The sequence below is a fragment of the Homo sapiens genome, chromosome 5, assembly GCF_000001405.40.
Source record: "Homo sapiens chromosome 5, GRCh38.p14 Primary Assembly".
NCBI lineage: Eukaryota > Metazoa > Chordata > Mammalia > Primates > Hominidae > Homo > Homo sapiens.
Window position 1 is genome coordinate 32,073,692 of NC_000005.10, and position 18,561 is coordinate 32,092,252.

An 18,561-nucleotide genomic window follows, 5' to 3' on the forward strand; every position below is an offset into this window, starting at 1 on the left:
CTTGTGTCCAGTGGCTGAGGCTGTGTGTCTGGTGTTAGTGAATGTGGAAATGCTTATGTGTAATGATGGGGTCAGATGATAAGACAGGGCCAAGTGGGAAGCTCAATTTCACTTGACTTTTCTGTCCCCACCTCCACCAGCTCACAAGGAGCCTGGAAAACCCAGAGCCAACAGCCTCGTGACTCTTGGGAGCCATCGGGCTTCTGGGCTCTTCCACAAGCAGGTGACAGTTGCCAGACAAGCCAGTCTCCCCGGAAGCCCACAGGCCCTCCGAAACCCTCTCCTCCGCCAGAGGAAGGTAGGCTGCTACGATGCCAACGATGCCAGTGATGAGGAAGAGTTTGACAGAGAAGGGGACTGCATTTCACTCCCAGGGGCCCTCCCGGGTCCCATCAGGCCTCTGTCAGAGGATGACCCGAGGCGTGTCTCAATTTCCTCTTCCAAGGGCATGGACGTCCACAACCAAGAGGAACGACCCCGGAAAACACTGGTGAGCAAGGCCATCTCGGCACCTCTTCTTGGTAGCTCAGTGGACTTAGAGGAGAGTATCCCAGAGGGCATGGTGGATGCTGCGTCCTATGCAGCCAACCTCACGGACTCTGCAGAGGCCCCCAAGGGGAGCCCTGGAAGCTGGTGGAAGAAGGAACTGTCAGGATCAAGTAGCGCACCCAAATTGGAATACACAGTCCGTACAGACACCCAGAGTCCGACGAACACTGGGAGCCCCAGTTCCCCCCAGCAGAAAAGTGAAGGCCTGGGCTCCAGGCACAGACCAGTGGCCAGGGTAAGCCCCCACTGCAAGAGATCCGAGGCTGAGGCCAAGCCCAGTGGCTCACAGACAGTGAACCTGACTGGCAGAGCCAATGATCCATGCGATCTGGACTCGAGAGTCCAGGCCACTTCTGTCAAAGTGACTGTCGCTGGCTTTCAGCCAGGTGGAGCTGTGGAGAAGGTAACTGACTTTCTCTTAGTTACTTGGAATGGAAGTGCATGAATATGTGTGAGTGAAGATGGAGTCTGTTGTAAAGCATGGGTAAGCTGCCAGTGGGAAAGGATGATGGCTGGAGAATTATCTTTCAACAGAGTCAGTCACTTAAATACCTGGACTGCTTGGAAGCCTTTTTTTTTTTTTTCTTGGAGATGGAGTTTCGCTCTGTCACCCAGGCGGGAGTGCAGTGGCGCAATCTCAGCTCACTGCAACCTCCGCCTCCCAGGTTCAAGCGATTGTCCTGTCTCAGCCTCCCGAGGAGCTGGGACTACAGGCGCACACCACCACGCCTGGCTAATTTTTGTATTTTTTAGTAGAGACAGGGTTTCACCATATTGGTCAGGCTGGTCTCGAACTCCTGGCCTCAGGTGATCCACCTGCCTCGGCCTCCTGAAGTGCTGGGATTACAAGCGTGAGCCACCGCACCCAGCCTAGGGAGCTTATTAATGTATCAGCAGGTTAGTCATGAGATCATTTGGCCAGAAGATACTATAGAATCTCTGTCTTACCTGTACACAGCACCTGTGGCTAATGATGGAAAGGCAGTGTGGCACAGGGAAAGTAAAACCATGGGCCTGGCATGAGCTCCACTGCTGACTAGTTGGCACTGGTCGAGTTACAACTTGGGCAAGTTATTAAACATTTCTGAGCTTAGTTCTCTGGGCTGGTGCTCTCTGCCTTGGTCATCTCACAGAGCTGGAGGGACCATCAAATATATGTTAACAGTGATTCCCTCCAGCTGATAAGGTTATGAGTGATCCTTATATTTTTCCAAATTTCTACATTGGTTATATATAATTATAGCCACTCATAACCTTGCTGTGGTATCATATGGAATAACAGGAATGCATTCACTTAGAAATTGATAATGTACCACATTAAATGCAAGTTAATATTGGTTATGTTACTACTTGGTTACGAGTATGTTAGAATATCAAATTGTTCATTTTTAAAAATGTTCAATATACCTCTACTTTATCAAGGAGACAGTACGAGAAATCAATGTTGTTTATAATCTCCTTAACATAAATAACTTCTCTCTCTCTCTCGCTGAACAAAGAATCTGAGATGACTTATAAAGCCATATTATTATAGATGTGTGTTCAAGTGGTTTATATAAACATATATGTCAATAGACCTGGAAAATGCTAAGTCATAAAAACTATACCAGGCAAAAGTCGTTTTTTTAACCTTATTTTTGTTTTAATAGAAATGCACATCTTTTTTCCTTCTCCTCAAATATCATATTTTACCTCCAACCACTACCTGTGTTTTAAAATATAATGTTTGGCCATTGGGTAAATTTCTTCTTTTAAAAAGCATCGGCCGGGCACAGTGGCTCACGCCTGTAATCCCAGCACTTTGGGATGCTGAGGCAGGTGGATCACCTGAGGTCAGGAATTAGAGACCAGCCTGGCCAACATGGCAAAACCCCGTCTCTACTGAAAATACAAAAATCAGTCAGGTGTGGTGGTGTGCACCTGTAATCCCAGCTACTCGGGAGTCTGAGGCAGGAGAATCTCTTGAACTCGGGAGGTGGTGGTTGCAGTGAGCTGAGATCGTGCCACTGTACTCCAGCCTGGGTGACAGAGCAAGACTCGGTCTCAAGAAAAAAAAAAAAAAAAAAAAACAAATCACAAGTTTTGGATAACTGTATAAAGGCAAATTAGGGTTTTTATTCATAATAATTTATATCTATTAAAATAAGAGTTTTGTAATTCTAAGTTAATACTCTCAGAATGAACTTTTGAGCAGCATTTGAAACTTGTACAAGACTAATTTTTCTCATAAAAATTTTAGTTACAAAATTTGATTTTATTTATATCTGAGAAAGAAAATAGAATGGATTGCTATAAAGTATATGTCCTCAAATATTGGAAGAAAAAACCTTCCTCTTTTGGTACGTGAGTTAAATTCTGTTTTTATTTACTACTTGATTTAAATTGAAGTGAAATTCATATAACATGAAATTAACCATTTTGAAATGTACAAGTCAATGGCACTTAGTACATTCAGAATGCAATATGACCCACCACCTCTGTCTAGTTCTGAAACTCCTCTACTGTTTTTATGTTACATTTGTGTTACTAATAAATAGAAAATTAACTGAGTTAAACTCTATCTAGGTTTCCCTCAGCTGGTAACTGACATTTTATGAAAAGATTTCTTACCAAAGCTGCTGAAAGACATATTATCCCTTTCACCTCTGTGCTCTGCTGCCACCTTTGGGCCACTTTATCACTCACAATGGATAAATTTCACATGAAGCTGATTTAACTGTTAGTTTTAGAATTTCATTGCATTGAATGTTAGGTAGAAGAAGAGAAAGTAATGGACACTTAGCCAAAGTGAAGTCTTGAAATATGAAATGTCAATTTTGTTTATCCAGATTCGTTCATTCCCTCACTACCAAACTAAGGAGTTAGTGTTATAGTCTTGGATATCTCTATGCAATATAATAACAATACCTTACATCTGTCTAGCCTTATATGTGCTGTTTTTATAACTGTTCTCATTTAATCGTCTTCTTTTAAGCTCTATGAGTAAGACTGGGAATGTTTTATGCCCATTTTAGAGTTGAAAAAAATGGAGGCTTGGGGAAGAATGATATGACCATTTAATTCCTAGCAGACCTTAAACCCACAATCTGGATCTGCTGGCTCCTAGTCCAGGGCCCCTTTGCCTTTTCCTGAACTAGCTCTGCTCTCTATATATGATCTCATCTTACGGTGCAGAAAGCCTGAAAGTTATTTCAAGTGGCTTGTGGTTGTCATTGTGCCAGGAATCTCTGGGAAAGCTGACCACTGGAGATGCTTGTGTCTCTACCAGCTGTGAACTAGCCAGTGCTCTGTCCCATCTGGATGCCAGCCACCTCACAGAGAACCTGCCCAAAGCTGCATCAGAGCTGGGGCAACAACCCATGACTGGTAAGATTATTTTCCCATTTGTTAATCTTAAAGTAGGTGGGGAGATACCCTAATGAAAGCATTATACAGGCCAGGCGCAGTGGCTTACACCTGTAATCCCAGCACTCTGGGAGGCCGAGGTGGGCGGACCACTTGAGGTCAGGAGTTTGAGACCAGCCTGGCCAACATGGTGAAACCCCATCTCTACTAAAAATACAAAAATTAGCCGGGCGTGGTGGTGCGCACCTTTAATCCCAGCTACTTGGGAGGCTGAGGCAGGAGAATCGCTTGAACTGGGTAGGCGGAGGTTGCAGTGAGCCAAGGTGGCACCATTGCACTGCAGCCTGGGCAACAAGAGCAAGACTCTGTCAAAAAAAAAAGAAAAAAGAAAGAAAGGAAATTGATATTTTTAAGGAGAAAAATCTTTTACACAAATTAACATTTAAATACTGCCTGCATTTAGCACCTTTACTATATCATTGTGCCTAAACTCATCGTTTTCATGCCATGTTGAACACATCCATTTTCAGTCAGTTGACCCTTTTTACCCTTTTGTGACACCAACAAGACATGAGATGAATCAAAAGGACTTCCCACCCATCAAAATCACAGCACTCTGCCTACGTGAAATCAAATGCACTGAGAAATGGCAACAAAAACCTCCACAAAGGACAAGTGAAATGATACTGAAAAACCACACATAAGTGTTGATGAGAGATTAAGTAACATCGTGGAGGCAGAAGTTATCTCAGTATTTATTTAGGTGCCAGGTGCAGTGGCTCATGCCTGTAATCCCAGCACTTTGGGAAGCTGAGGCAAGTAGATCATGAGGTCAGGAGTTTAAGACCAGCCTGGCCAACATGGTGAAACCCCATCTCTACTAAAAAGACAAAAAAATTAGCTGGGCATGGTGGAGCACGCTTATAATCCCAGCTACTCAGGAGGCTGAGGCAGTAGAATTGCTTGAACCCGGGAGGTGGAGGTTGCAGTGAGCCAAGATCATGCCATTGCACTCCAGCCTGGGCTATACAGTGAAACTGTGTCTCAAAAATTAAAAAAAAAAAAAAAAAAAAAGGAAATTAGTTAGATGTGGTGGCATGTGGCTATACTTTGGAGGCTAAGACCAGGAGGGTTACTTGAACCTAGGAGTTTGAGACTGCAGTGAGCTATGATCACGCCACTACACTCCAGCCTGGGTGACAGAACTAGACCCAATCTCTGGGAAAAAAAAAAAAGTGTGGGGTGTGTATGTGTGTATGTAAAATTTGGCTACCCATCATCTAGTAGTTGAACAAAATAATATTGTAAAACATGATTTTTAAAAATCAACTGAATTAAGTGACTTTGCTTCCTTGTTAGTGGAGACCTTTATTGAAATTTTGGATTCTGGTGGGGCGCGGTGGCTCATCATGCCTGTAATCCCAGCACTTTGGGATGCCAAGGGGGGGCCGATCACTTGAGGTCAGGAGTTCAAGACCAGCCTGGCCAACATAGTGAAATCTCGCCTCTACTAAACATAAAAAAATTAGCGGGTGTTGTGGTGCATGCCTGTAATCCTAGCTTCTCAGGAGGCTGAGACACGAGAATTGCTTGAACCCAGGAGGCAGAGGTTGCAGTGAGCTGAGATTGTGCCATTGCACTCCAGCCTGGGGGACAGAGTGAGACTCTGTCTCAAAAAAAAAACAAAAAAAAAACAAAAAAAAAAAAGGAAATCTGGATTCTAAACTTGCACTCTGTGGGTAGGGGACACTCTTCTCAGTGGCTGGTGATGACTGTGATCCCACTTGTCGAGCTCTGTGGGAGTCCCGGCAGTCCTCCGCAACTGTCGGCTGGTTGTTACTGTCTCAGCGCCTGCCTTCTGATTGGTTAGCAAACTACGGTGGTAGACAGAAAAAAGATAGCCTTCCTTTTTAGGGCTGTCCTACAAAATAAAAATGTGGGCCGGGTGCCGTGGCTCACACCTGTAATCCCAGCACTTTGGGAGGCTGAGGTGGGTGGATCCCCCGAGGTCAGGAGTTCGAGACCAGCCTGGCCAACATGGTGAAACCCAGTCTCTACTAAAAATACAAAACAAAATTAGCTGGGCATGTTGGCGGGCGCCTGTAATCCCAGCTACTTGGGAGGCTGAGGCAGGAGAATCGTTTAAACCCAGGAGGCAGAGGTTGCAGTGAGCCGAGATCGAGCCATTGCACTCCAGCCTGGGCAAAAAGAGCGAGACTCCGTCTCAGAAAAAAAAAGAAAAAAGTGAAACCCCAGAATATCTATCCCATACCCTGATGGCTACTCACAGAAAAAATACAGGCCCCTGATGTCTCTGTTCTGTGATCCGAGGCTCTTTGTTCCTTTGTTAGTGATGAGGCTGTTACTGTGGGTTCTGGTTTCTCTTTCGGGTTCACATTCACTTGCTGGACAAACACTAACAAGCATTTTTTTGTTAGCAATTTGACTTTACTGCAAAGAGTGTTAAAAAGGGTTCTATTTGGCCGGGCGCAGTGGCTCACACCTGTAATCCCAGCACTTTGGGAGGCCAAGACGGACGGATCACAAGGTCAGGAGATCGAGACCATCCTGGCTAACACAGTGAAACCCCATCTCTACTAAAAATACAAAAAATTAGCCAGACGTGGTGGTGGGCACCTGTAGTCCCAACTACTCAGGAAGCTGAGGCAGGAGAATGGTGTGAACCCGGGAGGTGGAGCTTGCAGCGAGCTGAGATCACACCACTGCACTCCAGCCTGGGCAACAGAGCGAGACTCCATCTCAAAAAAAAAAAAAAAAAAAAAAAGTGGGGGGTGAGGGGTTTCTATTTGAGGGAGATGAAGTTACATTGAGGCAGCCTTCAATGTCACCTTTCAAAGTAAGGCTTCATTTGAGGCCAGTATCTTCATACATTTTAAGAGTGCATGTTCTACATAATGGTCCTCTGGAAGTTTTCTTGGAATCCAGATTTGCTTTGGAATAGAAGAGGGACAGCAAAGGGTTGGTTTTTTTCACTAAACCAACATTTCCTATTTGCAACCTCATGCAGTACATTCTTTCCTTTCTTGCCACTGAGGAATTTCTTATTCTAGGTAGGCCAGTTTTTGTCAATACTGAGGTTTTCATCAGTGTTAGAAAATGTAGTACATATACACTATGGAATACTATGCAGCCATAAAAAGGAATGAGATCATGTCCTTTGCAGGGACAAGAATGGAGCTGGAAGCCATTATCCTCAGCAAACTAACACAGAAACAGAAAACCAAACACCACATGTTCTTACTTATAAGTGGGAGCTAAACAATGAGAACACATGGACACAGGGAAGGGAACATCACACACTGGAGCCTGTTGCGGATGGGGTGGTGGGGGGAGGGAGAGCATCAGGATCAATAGCTAATGCATGCAGGGCTTAATACCTAGGTCACGGGTTGATAGGTGCAGCAAACCACCATGGCACACATTTCCCTGTGTAACAAACCTGCGCATCCTGCACATGTATCCCAGAACTTAAAAAAAAAAAAAAATACCGCGGGTTTGTACCTTAAGTAAGTGGGTTGCTGCATGTCAAGTTCTCTTGTGTTATAGTGTAGAGAGAATTTCGTCTCCCAGCCCCGTACTCCCTGGAGCTCTGTGCACCTCTGTGACTGTACTGACCCCGGTGGGTGCAGATGTTTGGATGCTTTTCTGCCTTGCCCTCTCTGGATTTCCCATAGATAATGAGCCTTGAGAAAGGTGCAGCTATGTGTCCCTTACACCCACTGAGCAGCCAGGAATGCTAGACCAGGAACTGATTATATTTAACAGGCAATGATATATGTGCTATATTTAGTTAACATGTCAAAACATAATATATTAGTTACCATTTAATTCTTTAAGGGTCCTCGTCAGGATTGATCGAGTTGCAGTGACACACTGGCACCCTCAAGGGCTTTTGGGGTGTATCTGAAATACCCGATTACCGGATCTCTAAAAGATTTTAGAGCTTCTGTCTCCTTTTGTTTAGGTATTTCTCTCTCCTTCCCAATGAAAAGGCTATCTGTGACCAGTTGGTCCTGCTGAGTACTTGAGTGCTCGTAGCAGTTCTTCTTCCAGTGTTATTACAAATAGCTGCTTTCCAGTATGTAAGAAGGATGTTCTTCAAAACATGTCTTTGTTTTGTTTTGTTTTGTTTTGTGGCGGAGTCTTGCTCTGTTGCCCAGGCTGGAGTGCAGTGGTGTGATCTTGGCTCACTGTACGCTCTGCCTCCCAGGTTCATGCCATTCTCCTGCCTCAGCCTCCTGAGTAGCTGGGACTACAGGCGTCCGCCACCACGCCCAGCTGATTTTTTTGTATTTTTAGTAGAGATGGGGTTTCACCGTGTTAGGATGGTCTCAATCTCCTGAACTCGTGATCTGCCCACCTCGGCCTCCCGAAGTGCTGGGATTACAGGCGTGAGCCACCGCGCCTGGCATATCTTTGTTTTTTTTTTTTTTGAGACAGAGTCTCCCTCTGTCACCCAGGCTGGAGTGCAATGGCGCGATCTTGGCTCACTGCAACCTCTGCCTCCAGAGTTGAAGCAATTCTCCTGCCTCAGCCTCCTGAGTAGCTTGGATTACAGGCGCCCACCACCACGCTCGGCCAATTTTTGTGTTTTTAGTAGAGACGGCGATTCACTATGTTGGCCAGGCTGGTCTCGAACTCCTGACCTCAAGTGATCCACCCACCTCAGCCTCCCAAAGTGCTGGGATTACAGGCATAAGCCGCTGCGCCTAGCCAAAACATATCTTTTTTAAAACTGAAATATCCAAAAATGCATAAGTGATCAAAGAAGGAATACCTTATCATTAAAAAAAAATCCAAAATGACCCGTACACTGCACGGTGGTTAAGCACACAGGGGCATACGCAGGCTGCCAGGGCTCAGATCTGAGCCCCAACATTTGACCAGGGAAGGGACCTTGGATTAGTCACTGTTGTCCTAAGTTACACACCTCATGGGGTTGTTGAGGAAGAATCAATGACATTTTCATGTGTAGCATTTGGAACACAATCTGGTACCTAATATGTTGAATAAGTTATATTACGTGTGTGTATGTGATTTTCCTAAGAGAAACATATATGTGTGTATATATCTGCCTAGTATATGATACACAGTAAGATACGTGTGTGTGTATGTATGTGTGTATGTATACCTACACACATGATTTTCCTAAGAAAGTTTTAGAAACTTTAGAAACACAGGAGCAAATGGCCGACCAAGATGTGTTGATTGTGAGGTCTGATTTTAGAGCCATTTAGCTTTCTGGCAGCAATTGACTCTGTCTGTTAAATGGTGGCTCTTGGAAACCAGAACGAGAGGAGGTGGTAGCTGTTGGAAAAGCTGTCAAAGCTGTTGTGAGAAACTGAAGCAGTGTGGGGAATCCAGGCCCCCTGTTTGTCACTAAATGTTTAACTCTGTTATGAACGGGATACATGTTTATTCTAGAAACTTAAGAAATTACAATTGAGAGGGAAGTTTTGAAAGATAGCATAAAAATCAGCTAAGCCCAAGTGAAAAACCTCTGTTAATATTTTGGTCTGTATCATTTGAGTCTTGTGCGTATATGGGTGTGAATAAATATATAGTCCTGTGCTTTTTTTGTCTTTTTGCCAAAAAAAAAAAAAAAATCCACTGTGGTAGTCACCAGTACCTAACAACCTTTTTAAACCTCATACATCCACACGAAATAATATTTGAGCAGCCTGCTGGCATCAGTAAGACTGCTCCTCAGCCCATGGGCCTGACCTAGCAGGCTGTCCCTCGCACTGACCACTCTGCTGTCAGCACACCCATAGCCTACTCTAGGAAACCGCACTGCTATCCTGCAGGCTCTTCTACACCCGACATCACCTGGAGAGGCTGCTGGGCCTTCCACCCCACGGATGTGCTGTAACGAGTCAACCTTCCTCCCATGATTGGGCATTTCGAACGTTTCCAGAGAAAAGGTTGTCTTGAAAGGTGACAACCAAAGGCTGCCTCAGTGTAACCTCGTCTCCCTCAGATGAAGACCTTTTAAGTTACAGACTTTGCAATAAAGTCAAATTGCTAACATGAATTGCCTGTTTAGGTTTATTCAGTGAGCGAATATGAAATTTGTTTATTTTTGAGACGGATTCTTGCTCTGTCGCTCAGGCTGGATGGAGTACAGTGGCTCGATCTCGGCTCACTGCAACCTCCGCCTCCCAGGTTCAGGCAGTTCTCCTGCCTCAGCCTCCCAAGCAGCTGGGATTACAGACGTGCACCACCACACCTGGCTAATTTTTGTATTTTTAGTAGAGATGGGATTTCCCCATGTTGGCCAGGCTGGTTTCGAACTCCTGACCTCAAGTGATCTGCCTGGCCTCAGCATCCCAAAGTGCTGGGATTACAGGCATGAGCCACCGCCCACGGCCTGAATATGAAATTTAAAAACAGAGTTTAAATCCCCTCCTTTTGTGTCATTGCTACTCCCCACCACCACCCGCACTACCGCCCATATTTGCTGTCACCAGAAGCAGGAACATTATGCTTAAGGGGAAGTTCAAAAAAGGTTGAGCAGAGAAGGAGAAGAGCACGTGGCTTTGAGTCTTGGCAGGCCCCTGGCCTTCCACAGTGGGCCTGGAAAGCTAGTAGCTAGTACGGTCTCCATGGGGATCTCGACGATCCAACCTTTTGATTGCCAAGGGCTCTCCACACAGAGGCCACATAGTCAGGGTTTAGGCAGTAGCATGGGCTGTGGAGCCAGCTTCCTGGGGCGACCGCTGGCTCTGCCACCTGTGAACTCTGACCTCAGACACATTGCTTAACCACGCTGTTTCTCCGTCCTCATCCTTCCAATGCAGATGGTCACAGGACATACCTCAGTGTTAGGAGGAAAATTAAATGTGTACAAAACTCTTAGCACAGTGTTAACTCCTTAATTATTGGAAAACCTCTTAGCACAGGGCTGAGTCCTAATAATTAGTTCTTAATTATTCACATAGCAAGGTCAGCAGGTTAAAAAAATGCAATTAAGATGATTTTATGTGAGAGCTGTGGAACGAACATAATATTTGGGGAAGAGTTGGTTTGACTTAATTCTCAAACCAAGAGCTTTCATGGAACTTCATTTTTCACTCCAACCTCAGACCCATAGTTCCTAAGAAAATAGCTTTGTTCTTTCTGATGCCAGATTTTTTTTCCCTGTTGCAAGATGCTGTGTGTCTGAGGTGGAAGATTAGCCCAAGACTATGCAGGGCCTTATGAACAGGCACTTTCAGGAGTGAGTGGCTGTTGGAACCCACCTCCTAGATGACTTCCCACTGTCCACTGGCACACATCCCCTTGCCCTGCCACCTCCAAGATTTCAGGCTCTTTCTTGCTTCTCTGCTTTCATTCTGTTGCCTTTTTTTTTTTTTTTTTTTTTTTTTTGAGACAGAGTCTTGCTCTGTTGCCCAGGCTTGAAGGCAGTGGTGCAATCTCAGCTCACTGACCTCTACCTCCTGGGTTCAAGCGAATCTCGTGCCTCAGCCTCCCAAGTAGCTGGGATTACAGGTGCATGCCACCATGCCTGGTTAATTTTTGTATTTTTCGTAGAGATAGGGTTTCACCATGTTGGCCAAGCTGGTCTCAAACTCCTGACAAGTGATCCACCTGCCTTGGCCTCCCAAAGTGCTGGGATTACAGGCGTGATCCACCGTGCCCAGCTGCCTTTTTTTTTTTTTAATTGACACATAATTGTACATACTTATGGAGCACAAAGTGGTACTTCAGTACATATATACATTGTGCAATGATTAAATCAGGGTAATTAGCATATCCATCACATCAAATGTATCATGTCTTTGTGGTAGGAACATCCCAAATTCTCTCTTCTAGCTATTTCAATAAATGCAATACCTTATTATTATTTTTTTTTTTTGAGACGGAGTCTTGCTCTGTTACTCAGGCTGGAATACAATGGCATGATCTTGGCTCACTGCAACTCCACCTCCCAGGTTCAAGCGATTCTCCTGCCTCAGCCTCACAAGTAGCTGGGATTACAGGCGTGTGCCACCACACTCAGCTAATTTTTGTATTTTTAGTAGAGACGGGAATTTCACCATGTTGGCCAGGCTGGTCTCGAACTCTTGACCTCAGGTGATCCACCCGCCTTGGCCTCCCAAAGTGCTGGGATTACAGGCGTGAGCCACCATGCCCAGCCCTGTTTTTGTTGTGTTGTTGTTGTTTTGTTTTGTCTTTTGTTTTTTTTACACTCAAACTGCCTTGGCTATTCAGAGTCCTTTGTGGTTCCATGCACATTTTACAACTGTTTTTTTTTTTTCTATTTCTGTAAAAAATGTCATTGGAATTTTGGTAGGAATTGTACCGAATCTATAGATGACTTTGGGTAGTATGGACATTTTAACGGTACTCTTCCATTGTCTTCCTTACCTTCCTCCTCCTCACTCTCTGGCCAAACTCCCCTTGTCAGCCCCATTCATGTCCCCACCTCCTCTGTCAAGTCTTCCTGGGATAATCTGGCTTCTCACTCTCCCACTCCTCTGAATTCGTCAAGACAGCCAGAGCTCGGTGTAGACCTGTATCCCAGCTTTCGTATTCTGTATGTTTTCCCTAGTTAGCCTCAGCCCCTGCACTAAAAAGGAAGCCTCTTGAGCTCGGCACTTGGACTGTTTTACACTGAAGTACATCATTCACATCCCCCAGTGTGAGCCAAACCCACACACCACTGGCCAGATACTGGGACTGAGAGGTCCATGAGGGCCCTGCTGCATCCACGCAGGAGTAGGGAACCAAATAGAACAAGAGCCTGACGCTTGCGGCTTTGCCATCAGAGGGTGAATGGCATAAAGAGACCCAAGTGTGCAATGATTAAATCAGGGTAATCAGCATATCCATCACATCAAATGTATCATTTCTTTGTGGTAGGAACATCTGCCATCATAGAAATACCAAAAGAGAGAAAAATGGGCAGATGTAAATGTTTCTTCTGCCGGCTAATCTGAGTTCTCTTAGAGCGTCTAAAGCAGGGTGGTATTTGTTAGATGTGGGTACTCTATAATTTTAGAGAGAAAACCAGGAAGACAAGAAGGGCCTCCATTTAGGCCACAGAACGCCGTTTTGTTGTTGTTGTTGTTGTTGTTGTTTTCTGAGACGGAGTTTCGCTCTTTTTGCCCAGGCTGCAGTGCAATGGCACATTCTCGGCTCACTGCAACCTCCACCTCCCAGGTTCAAGCAATTCTCCTGCCTCAGCCTCCCAAGTAGCTGGGATTACAGGTGCCCACCCCCATGCCCAGCTAATTTTTTTTTTTTTTTTTTTTTTTTTAGTAGAGATGGGGTTTCACCATGTTGGCCAGGCTGGTCTCGAACTCCTGACCTCAGGTGATCCACCCGCCTCCGCCTCCCAAAGTGCTGGGATTACAAGCATGCGCCACCACGCCCAGCTTTCTGAAAAAGAAAAAAATATTTGAGGTTGTTTATAATTTTCTAGTTTTTAATAATTGAGGGGCTGCTTTCTTATATTATCCCTTTTATCTCCCCTACAACCTCTCCTGTGTATGTACCTTCTGTTTACGTTCCCCACGTAGAACTGGACAGCTCCTCAGACCTCATCTCTTCCCCAGGGAAGAAGGGGGCCGCTCATCCTGACCCCAGCAAGACCTCTGTAGACACAGGGCAAGTCAGTCGGCCAGAGAATCCCAGCCAGCCTGCATCGCCCAGGGTCACCAAGTGCAAGGCCAGGTCTCCAGTCAGGCTCCCCCATGAGGGCAGCCCCTCCCCGGGGGAGAAAGCAGCGGCTCCCCCTGACTACAGCAAGACTCGATCAGCATCGGAAACCAGCACACCCCACAATACCAGGAGGGTGGCTGCCCTCAGGGGAGCGGGACCTGGAGCAGAGGGAATGACACCAGCTGGTGCTGTCCTGCCAGGAGACCCCCTCACATCCCAGGAGCAGAGACAGGGAGCTCCAGGTAACCACAGTAAGGCTCTGGAAATGACAGGAATCCATGCACCTGAAAGCTCCCAGGAGCCTTCCCTGCTGGAGGGAGCAGATTCTGTGTCCTCAAGGGCACCGCAGGCCAGCCTCTCCATGCTGCCATCCACTGACAACACCAAAGAAGCATGTGGCCATGTCTCGGGGCACTGCTGCCCAGGGGGGAGTAGAGAGAGCCCTGTGACGGACATTGACAGCTTCATCAAGGAGCTGGATGCTTCTGCAGCAAGGTCTCCGTCTTCCCAGACGGGGGACAGTGGCTCTCAGGAGGGCAGTGCTCAGGGCCACCCACCAGCCGGGGCTGGAGGTGGGAGCTCCTGCCGTGCCGAACCAGTCCCGGGGGGCCAGACCTCCTCCCCGAGGAGGGCCTGGGCTGCTGGTGCCCCCGCCTACCCACAATGGGCCTCCCAGCCTTCGGTTTTAGATTCAATTAATCCCGACAAACATTTTACTGTGAACAAAAACTTTCTGAGCAACTACTCTAGAAATTTTAGCAGTTTTCATGAAGACAGCACCTCCCTATCAGGCCTGGGTGACAGCACGGAGCCGTCTCTGTCATCCATGTATGGCGATGCTGAGGATTCTTCTTCTGACCCTGAGTCACTCACTGAAGCCCCACGAGCTTCTGCCAGGGACGGCTGGTCCCCTCCTCGTTCCCGTGTGTCTTTGCACAAGGAAGATCCTTCGGAGTCAGAAGAGGAACAGATTGAGATTTGTTCCACACGTGGCTGCCCCAATCCACCCTCGAGTCCTGCTCATCTTCCCACCCAGGCTGCCATCTGTCCTGCCTCAGCCAAAGTTCTGTCATTAAAATACAGCACTCCGAGAGAGTCGGTGGCCAGTCCCCGTGAGAAGGCCGCCTGCTTGCCAGGCTCATACACTTCAGGCCCAGACTCTTCCCAGCCATCATCACTCTTGGAGATGAGCTCTCAGGAGCATGAAACTCATGCGGACATAAGCACTTCACAGAACCACAGGCCCTCGTGTGCAGAAGAAACCACAGAAGTCACCAGCGCTAGCTCAGCCATGGAAAACAGTCCGCTGTCTAAAGTAGCCAGGCATTTTCACAGTCCGCCCATCATTCTCAGCTCCCCCAACATGGTAAATGGCTTGGAACATGACCTGCTAGATGACGAAACCCTGAATCAATACGAAACAAGCATTAATGCAGCTGCCAGTCTGTCCTCCTTCAGTGTGGATGTCCCTAAGAATGGAGAATCTGTTTTGGAAAACCTCCACATCTCTGAAAGTCAAGACCTGGATGACTTGCTACAGAAACCAAAAATGATCGCTAGGAGGCCCATCATGGCCTGGTTTAAAGAAATAAATAAACATAACCAAGGCACACATTTGAGGAGCAAAACCGAGAAGGAACAACCTCTAATGCCTGCCAGAAGTCCCGACTCCAAGATTCAGATGGTGAGTTCAAGCCAAAAAAAGGGCGTTACTGTGCCTCATAGCCCTCCTCAGCCGAAAACAAACCTGGAAAATAAGGACCTGTCTAAGAAGAGTCCGGCAGAAATGCTTCTGACTAATGGTCAGAAGGCAAAGTGTGGTCCGAAGCTGAAGAGGCTCAGCCTCAAGGGCAAGGCCAAAGTCAACTCTGAGGCCCCTGCTGCGAATGCTGTGAAGGCTGGGGGGACGGACCACAGGAAACCCTTGATCTCACCCCAGACCTCCCACAAAACACTTTCTAAGGCAGTGTCACAGCGGCTCCATGTAGCCGACCACGAGGACCCTGACAGAAACACCACAGCTGCCCCCAGGTCCCCCCAGTGTGTGCTGGAAAGCAAGCCACCTCTTGCCACCTCTGGGCCACTGAAACCCTCAGTGTCTGACACGAGCATCAGGACATTTGTCTCGCCCCTGACCTCTCCCAAGCCTGTTCCTGAGCAAGGCATGTGGAGCAGGTTCCACATGGCTGTCCTCTCTGAACCCGACAGAGGTTGCCCAACCACCCCTAAATCTCCTAAGTGTAGAGCAGAGGGCAGGGCGCCCCGTGCTGACTCCGGGCCGGTGAGTCCGGCAGCGTCTAGGAACGGCATGTCCGTGGCAGGGAACAGACAGAGTGAGCCGCGCCTGGCCAGCCATGTGGCAGCAGACACAGCCCAACCCAGGCCGACTGGCGAAAAAGGAGGCAACATAATGGCCAGCGATCGCCTCGAAAGAACAAACCAGCTGAAAATCGTGGAGATTTCTGCTGAAGCAGTGTCAGAGACTGTATGTGGTAACAAGCCAGCTGAAAGCGACAGACGGGGAGGGTGCTTGGCCCAGGGCAACTGTCAGGAGAAGAGTGAAATCAGGCTCTATCGCCAGGTCGCAGAATCATCCACAAGTCATCCATCCTCACTCCCATCTCATGCCTCCCAGGCAGAGCAGGAAATGTCACGATCATTCAGCATGGCAAAACTGGCGTCCTCCTCCTCCTCCCTTCAAACAGCCATTAGAAAGGCAGAATACTCCCAGGGAAAATCAAGCCTGATGTCAGACTCCCGAGGGGTGCCCAGAAACAGCATTCCAGGGGGCCCCTCGGGGGAGGACCATCTCTACTTCACCCCAAGGCCAGCGACCAGGACCTACTCCATGCCAGCCCAGTTCTCAAGCCATTTTGGACGGGAGGGTCACCCCCCACACAGCCTGGGTCGCTCTCGGGACAGCCAGGTCCCTGTGACAAGCAGTGTTGTCCCCGAGGCAAAGGCATCCAGAGGTGGTCTTCCCAGCCTGGCTAATGGACAGGGCATATATAGTGTAAAGCCGCTGCTGGACACATCGAGGAATCTTCCAGCCACAGATGAAGGGGATATCATTTCAGTCCAGGAGACGAGCTGCCTAGTCACAGACAAAATCAAAGTCACCAGACGACACTACTGCTATGAGCAGAACTGGCCCCATGAATCTACCTCATTTTTCTCTGTGAAGCAGCGGATCAAGTCTTTTGAGAACCTGGCCAATGCTGACCGGCCTGTAGCCAAGTCCGGGGCTTCCCCATTTTTGTCGGTGAGCTCCAAGCCTCCCATTGGGAGGCGGTCTTCCGGCAGCATTGTTTCCGGGAGCCTGGGCCACCCAGGTGACGCAGCAGCAAGGTTGTTGAGACGCAGCTTGAGTTCCTGCAGCGAAAACCAAAGCGAAGCCGGCACCCTCCTGCCCCAGATGGCCAAGTCTCCCTCAATCATGACACTGACCATCTCTCGGCAGAACCCACCAGAGACCAGTAGCAAGGGCTCTGATTCGGAACTAAAGAAATCACTTGGTCCTTTGGGAATTCCCACCCCAACGATGACCCTGGCTTCTCCTGTTAAGAGGAACAAGTCCTCGGTACGCCACACGCAGCCCTCGCCCGTGTCCCGCTCCAAGCTCCAGGAGCTGAGAGCCTTGAGCATGCCTGACCTTGACAAGCTCTGCAGCGAGGATTACTCAGCAGGGCCGAGCGCCGTGCTCTTCAAAACTGAGCTGGAGATCACCCCCAGGAGGTCACCTGGCCCTCCTGCTGGAGGCGTTTCGTGTCCCGAGAAGGGCGGGAACAGGGCCTGTCCAGGAGGAAGTGGCCCTAAAACCAGTGCTGCTGAGACACCCAGTTCAGCCAGTGATACGGGTGAAGCTGCCCAGGATCTGCCTTTTAGAAGAAGCTGGTCAGTTAAGTAAGTATCTGCCCACTACTTTTATTTCAGATAAACTTGTTTCATTTTGGAATAGTTTTAGATTTATAGAAAAGTTGCAAAGATAATGCAGAGTTCCCACTTACTTTTTTTTTTTTTTTTTTTTTTTGAGATGGAGCATCGCTCTGTCGCCCAGGCTGGAGTGCAATGGCGCGATCTCGGCTCACTGCAACCTCTGCCTCCCGGGTTCAAGCGATTCTCCTGCCTCAGCCTCCTGAGTAGCTGGGATTACAGGCGTGCACCACCACACCTGGCTAATTTTTGTATTTTTAATAGAGACGGGGTTTCACCATGTTGGTCAGGCTGGTCTCAAACTCCTAACCTTGTGATCCGCCTGCCTCGGCCTCCCAAAGTGCCGGGATTACAGGTGTGAGCCACTGCACCCGGCCACTTCTTACCCACTCTTCCTAATGTTCACATCTCTCATAACCACGGTCCATTCGTCAAAAGTAAGAAATTAATGTTGGAGCAATACCATTAACTACAGACTTCATTCAGATTTTGCTGAATAAATTCTGCTAATATCGTTTTTCTGTCCCAGGATCCAGGATACTACATTCCATTTTAGTGCCCTTGGTTTTTAATATCACTGCTGGAAAAATAAAAGTGCCTGCAGGGAAACATGTTTACCAAAGTGTCGCTCTGAGGAGAGGCTTCTAGAGGACATGGCACTTAAGCAAAAGCAACATGAGAGGGGCATGCAGAGGAAGAGAGAGCACAGCACGGGGGAATTTGGACTTTGGAGGTGGCTGGAGTTAAACGGAGAATTTCTAACATATTTAAAAATATTTCACTTGAGGCCAGCCGTGGTGGCTCACACCTGTAATCCCAGCACTTTAGGAGGCTGAGCCGGGCAGATCACTTAAGGTGAGGAGTTCAAGACCAGCCTGGCCAACATGGTGAAACCCCATCTCTACTAAAAATACAAAAATTAGCTGGGGATGGTGGCAGGCGCCTGTAATCCCACCTACTTGGGAGGCTGAGGCAGGAGAATCGCTTGAACCCAGGAGGCTGATGTTGCAGTGAGCTGAGATCGCGTCACTGCACTCCAGCCTGGGC

At 47.6% G+C, this 18,561-nt stretch overlaps 1 protein-coding gene across 8 annotated transcripts in view; it reads left to right on the plus strand.

Moving 5' to 3' along the window:
* The window catches only part of PDZD2 (PDZ domain containing 2), a 471,802-nt gene that overhangs the window by 434,561 nt on the left and 18,680 nt on the right, over window positions 1-18,561 (plus strand). For 6 of the 8 annotated variants that reach the window (XM_005248269.5, NM_178140.4, XM_011513992.3 and 3 more), the window contains 3 exons: window positions 141-952; window positions 3,771-3,915; window positions 13,440-17,484. In XM_005248269.5, the coding sequence (XP_005248326.1) occupies window positions 141-952; window positions 3,771-3,915; window positions 13,440-17,484 (5,002 nt within the window). The remainder of the gene's footprint in view (window positions 1-140; window positions 953-3,770; window positions 3,916-13,439; window positions 17,485-18,561) is intronic. The other 2 variants (XM_011513994.3, XM_047416965.1) reach the window with 1 other exon arrangement.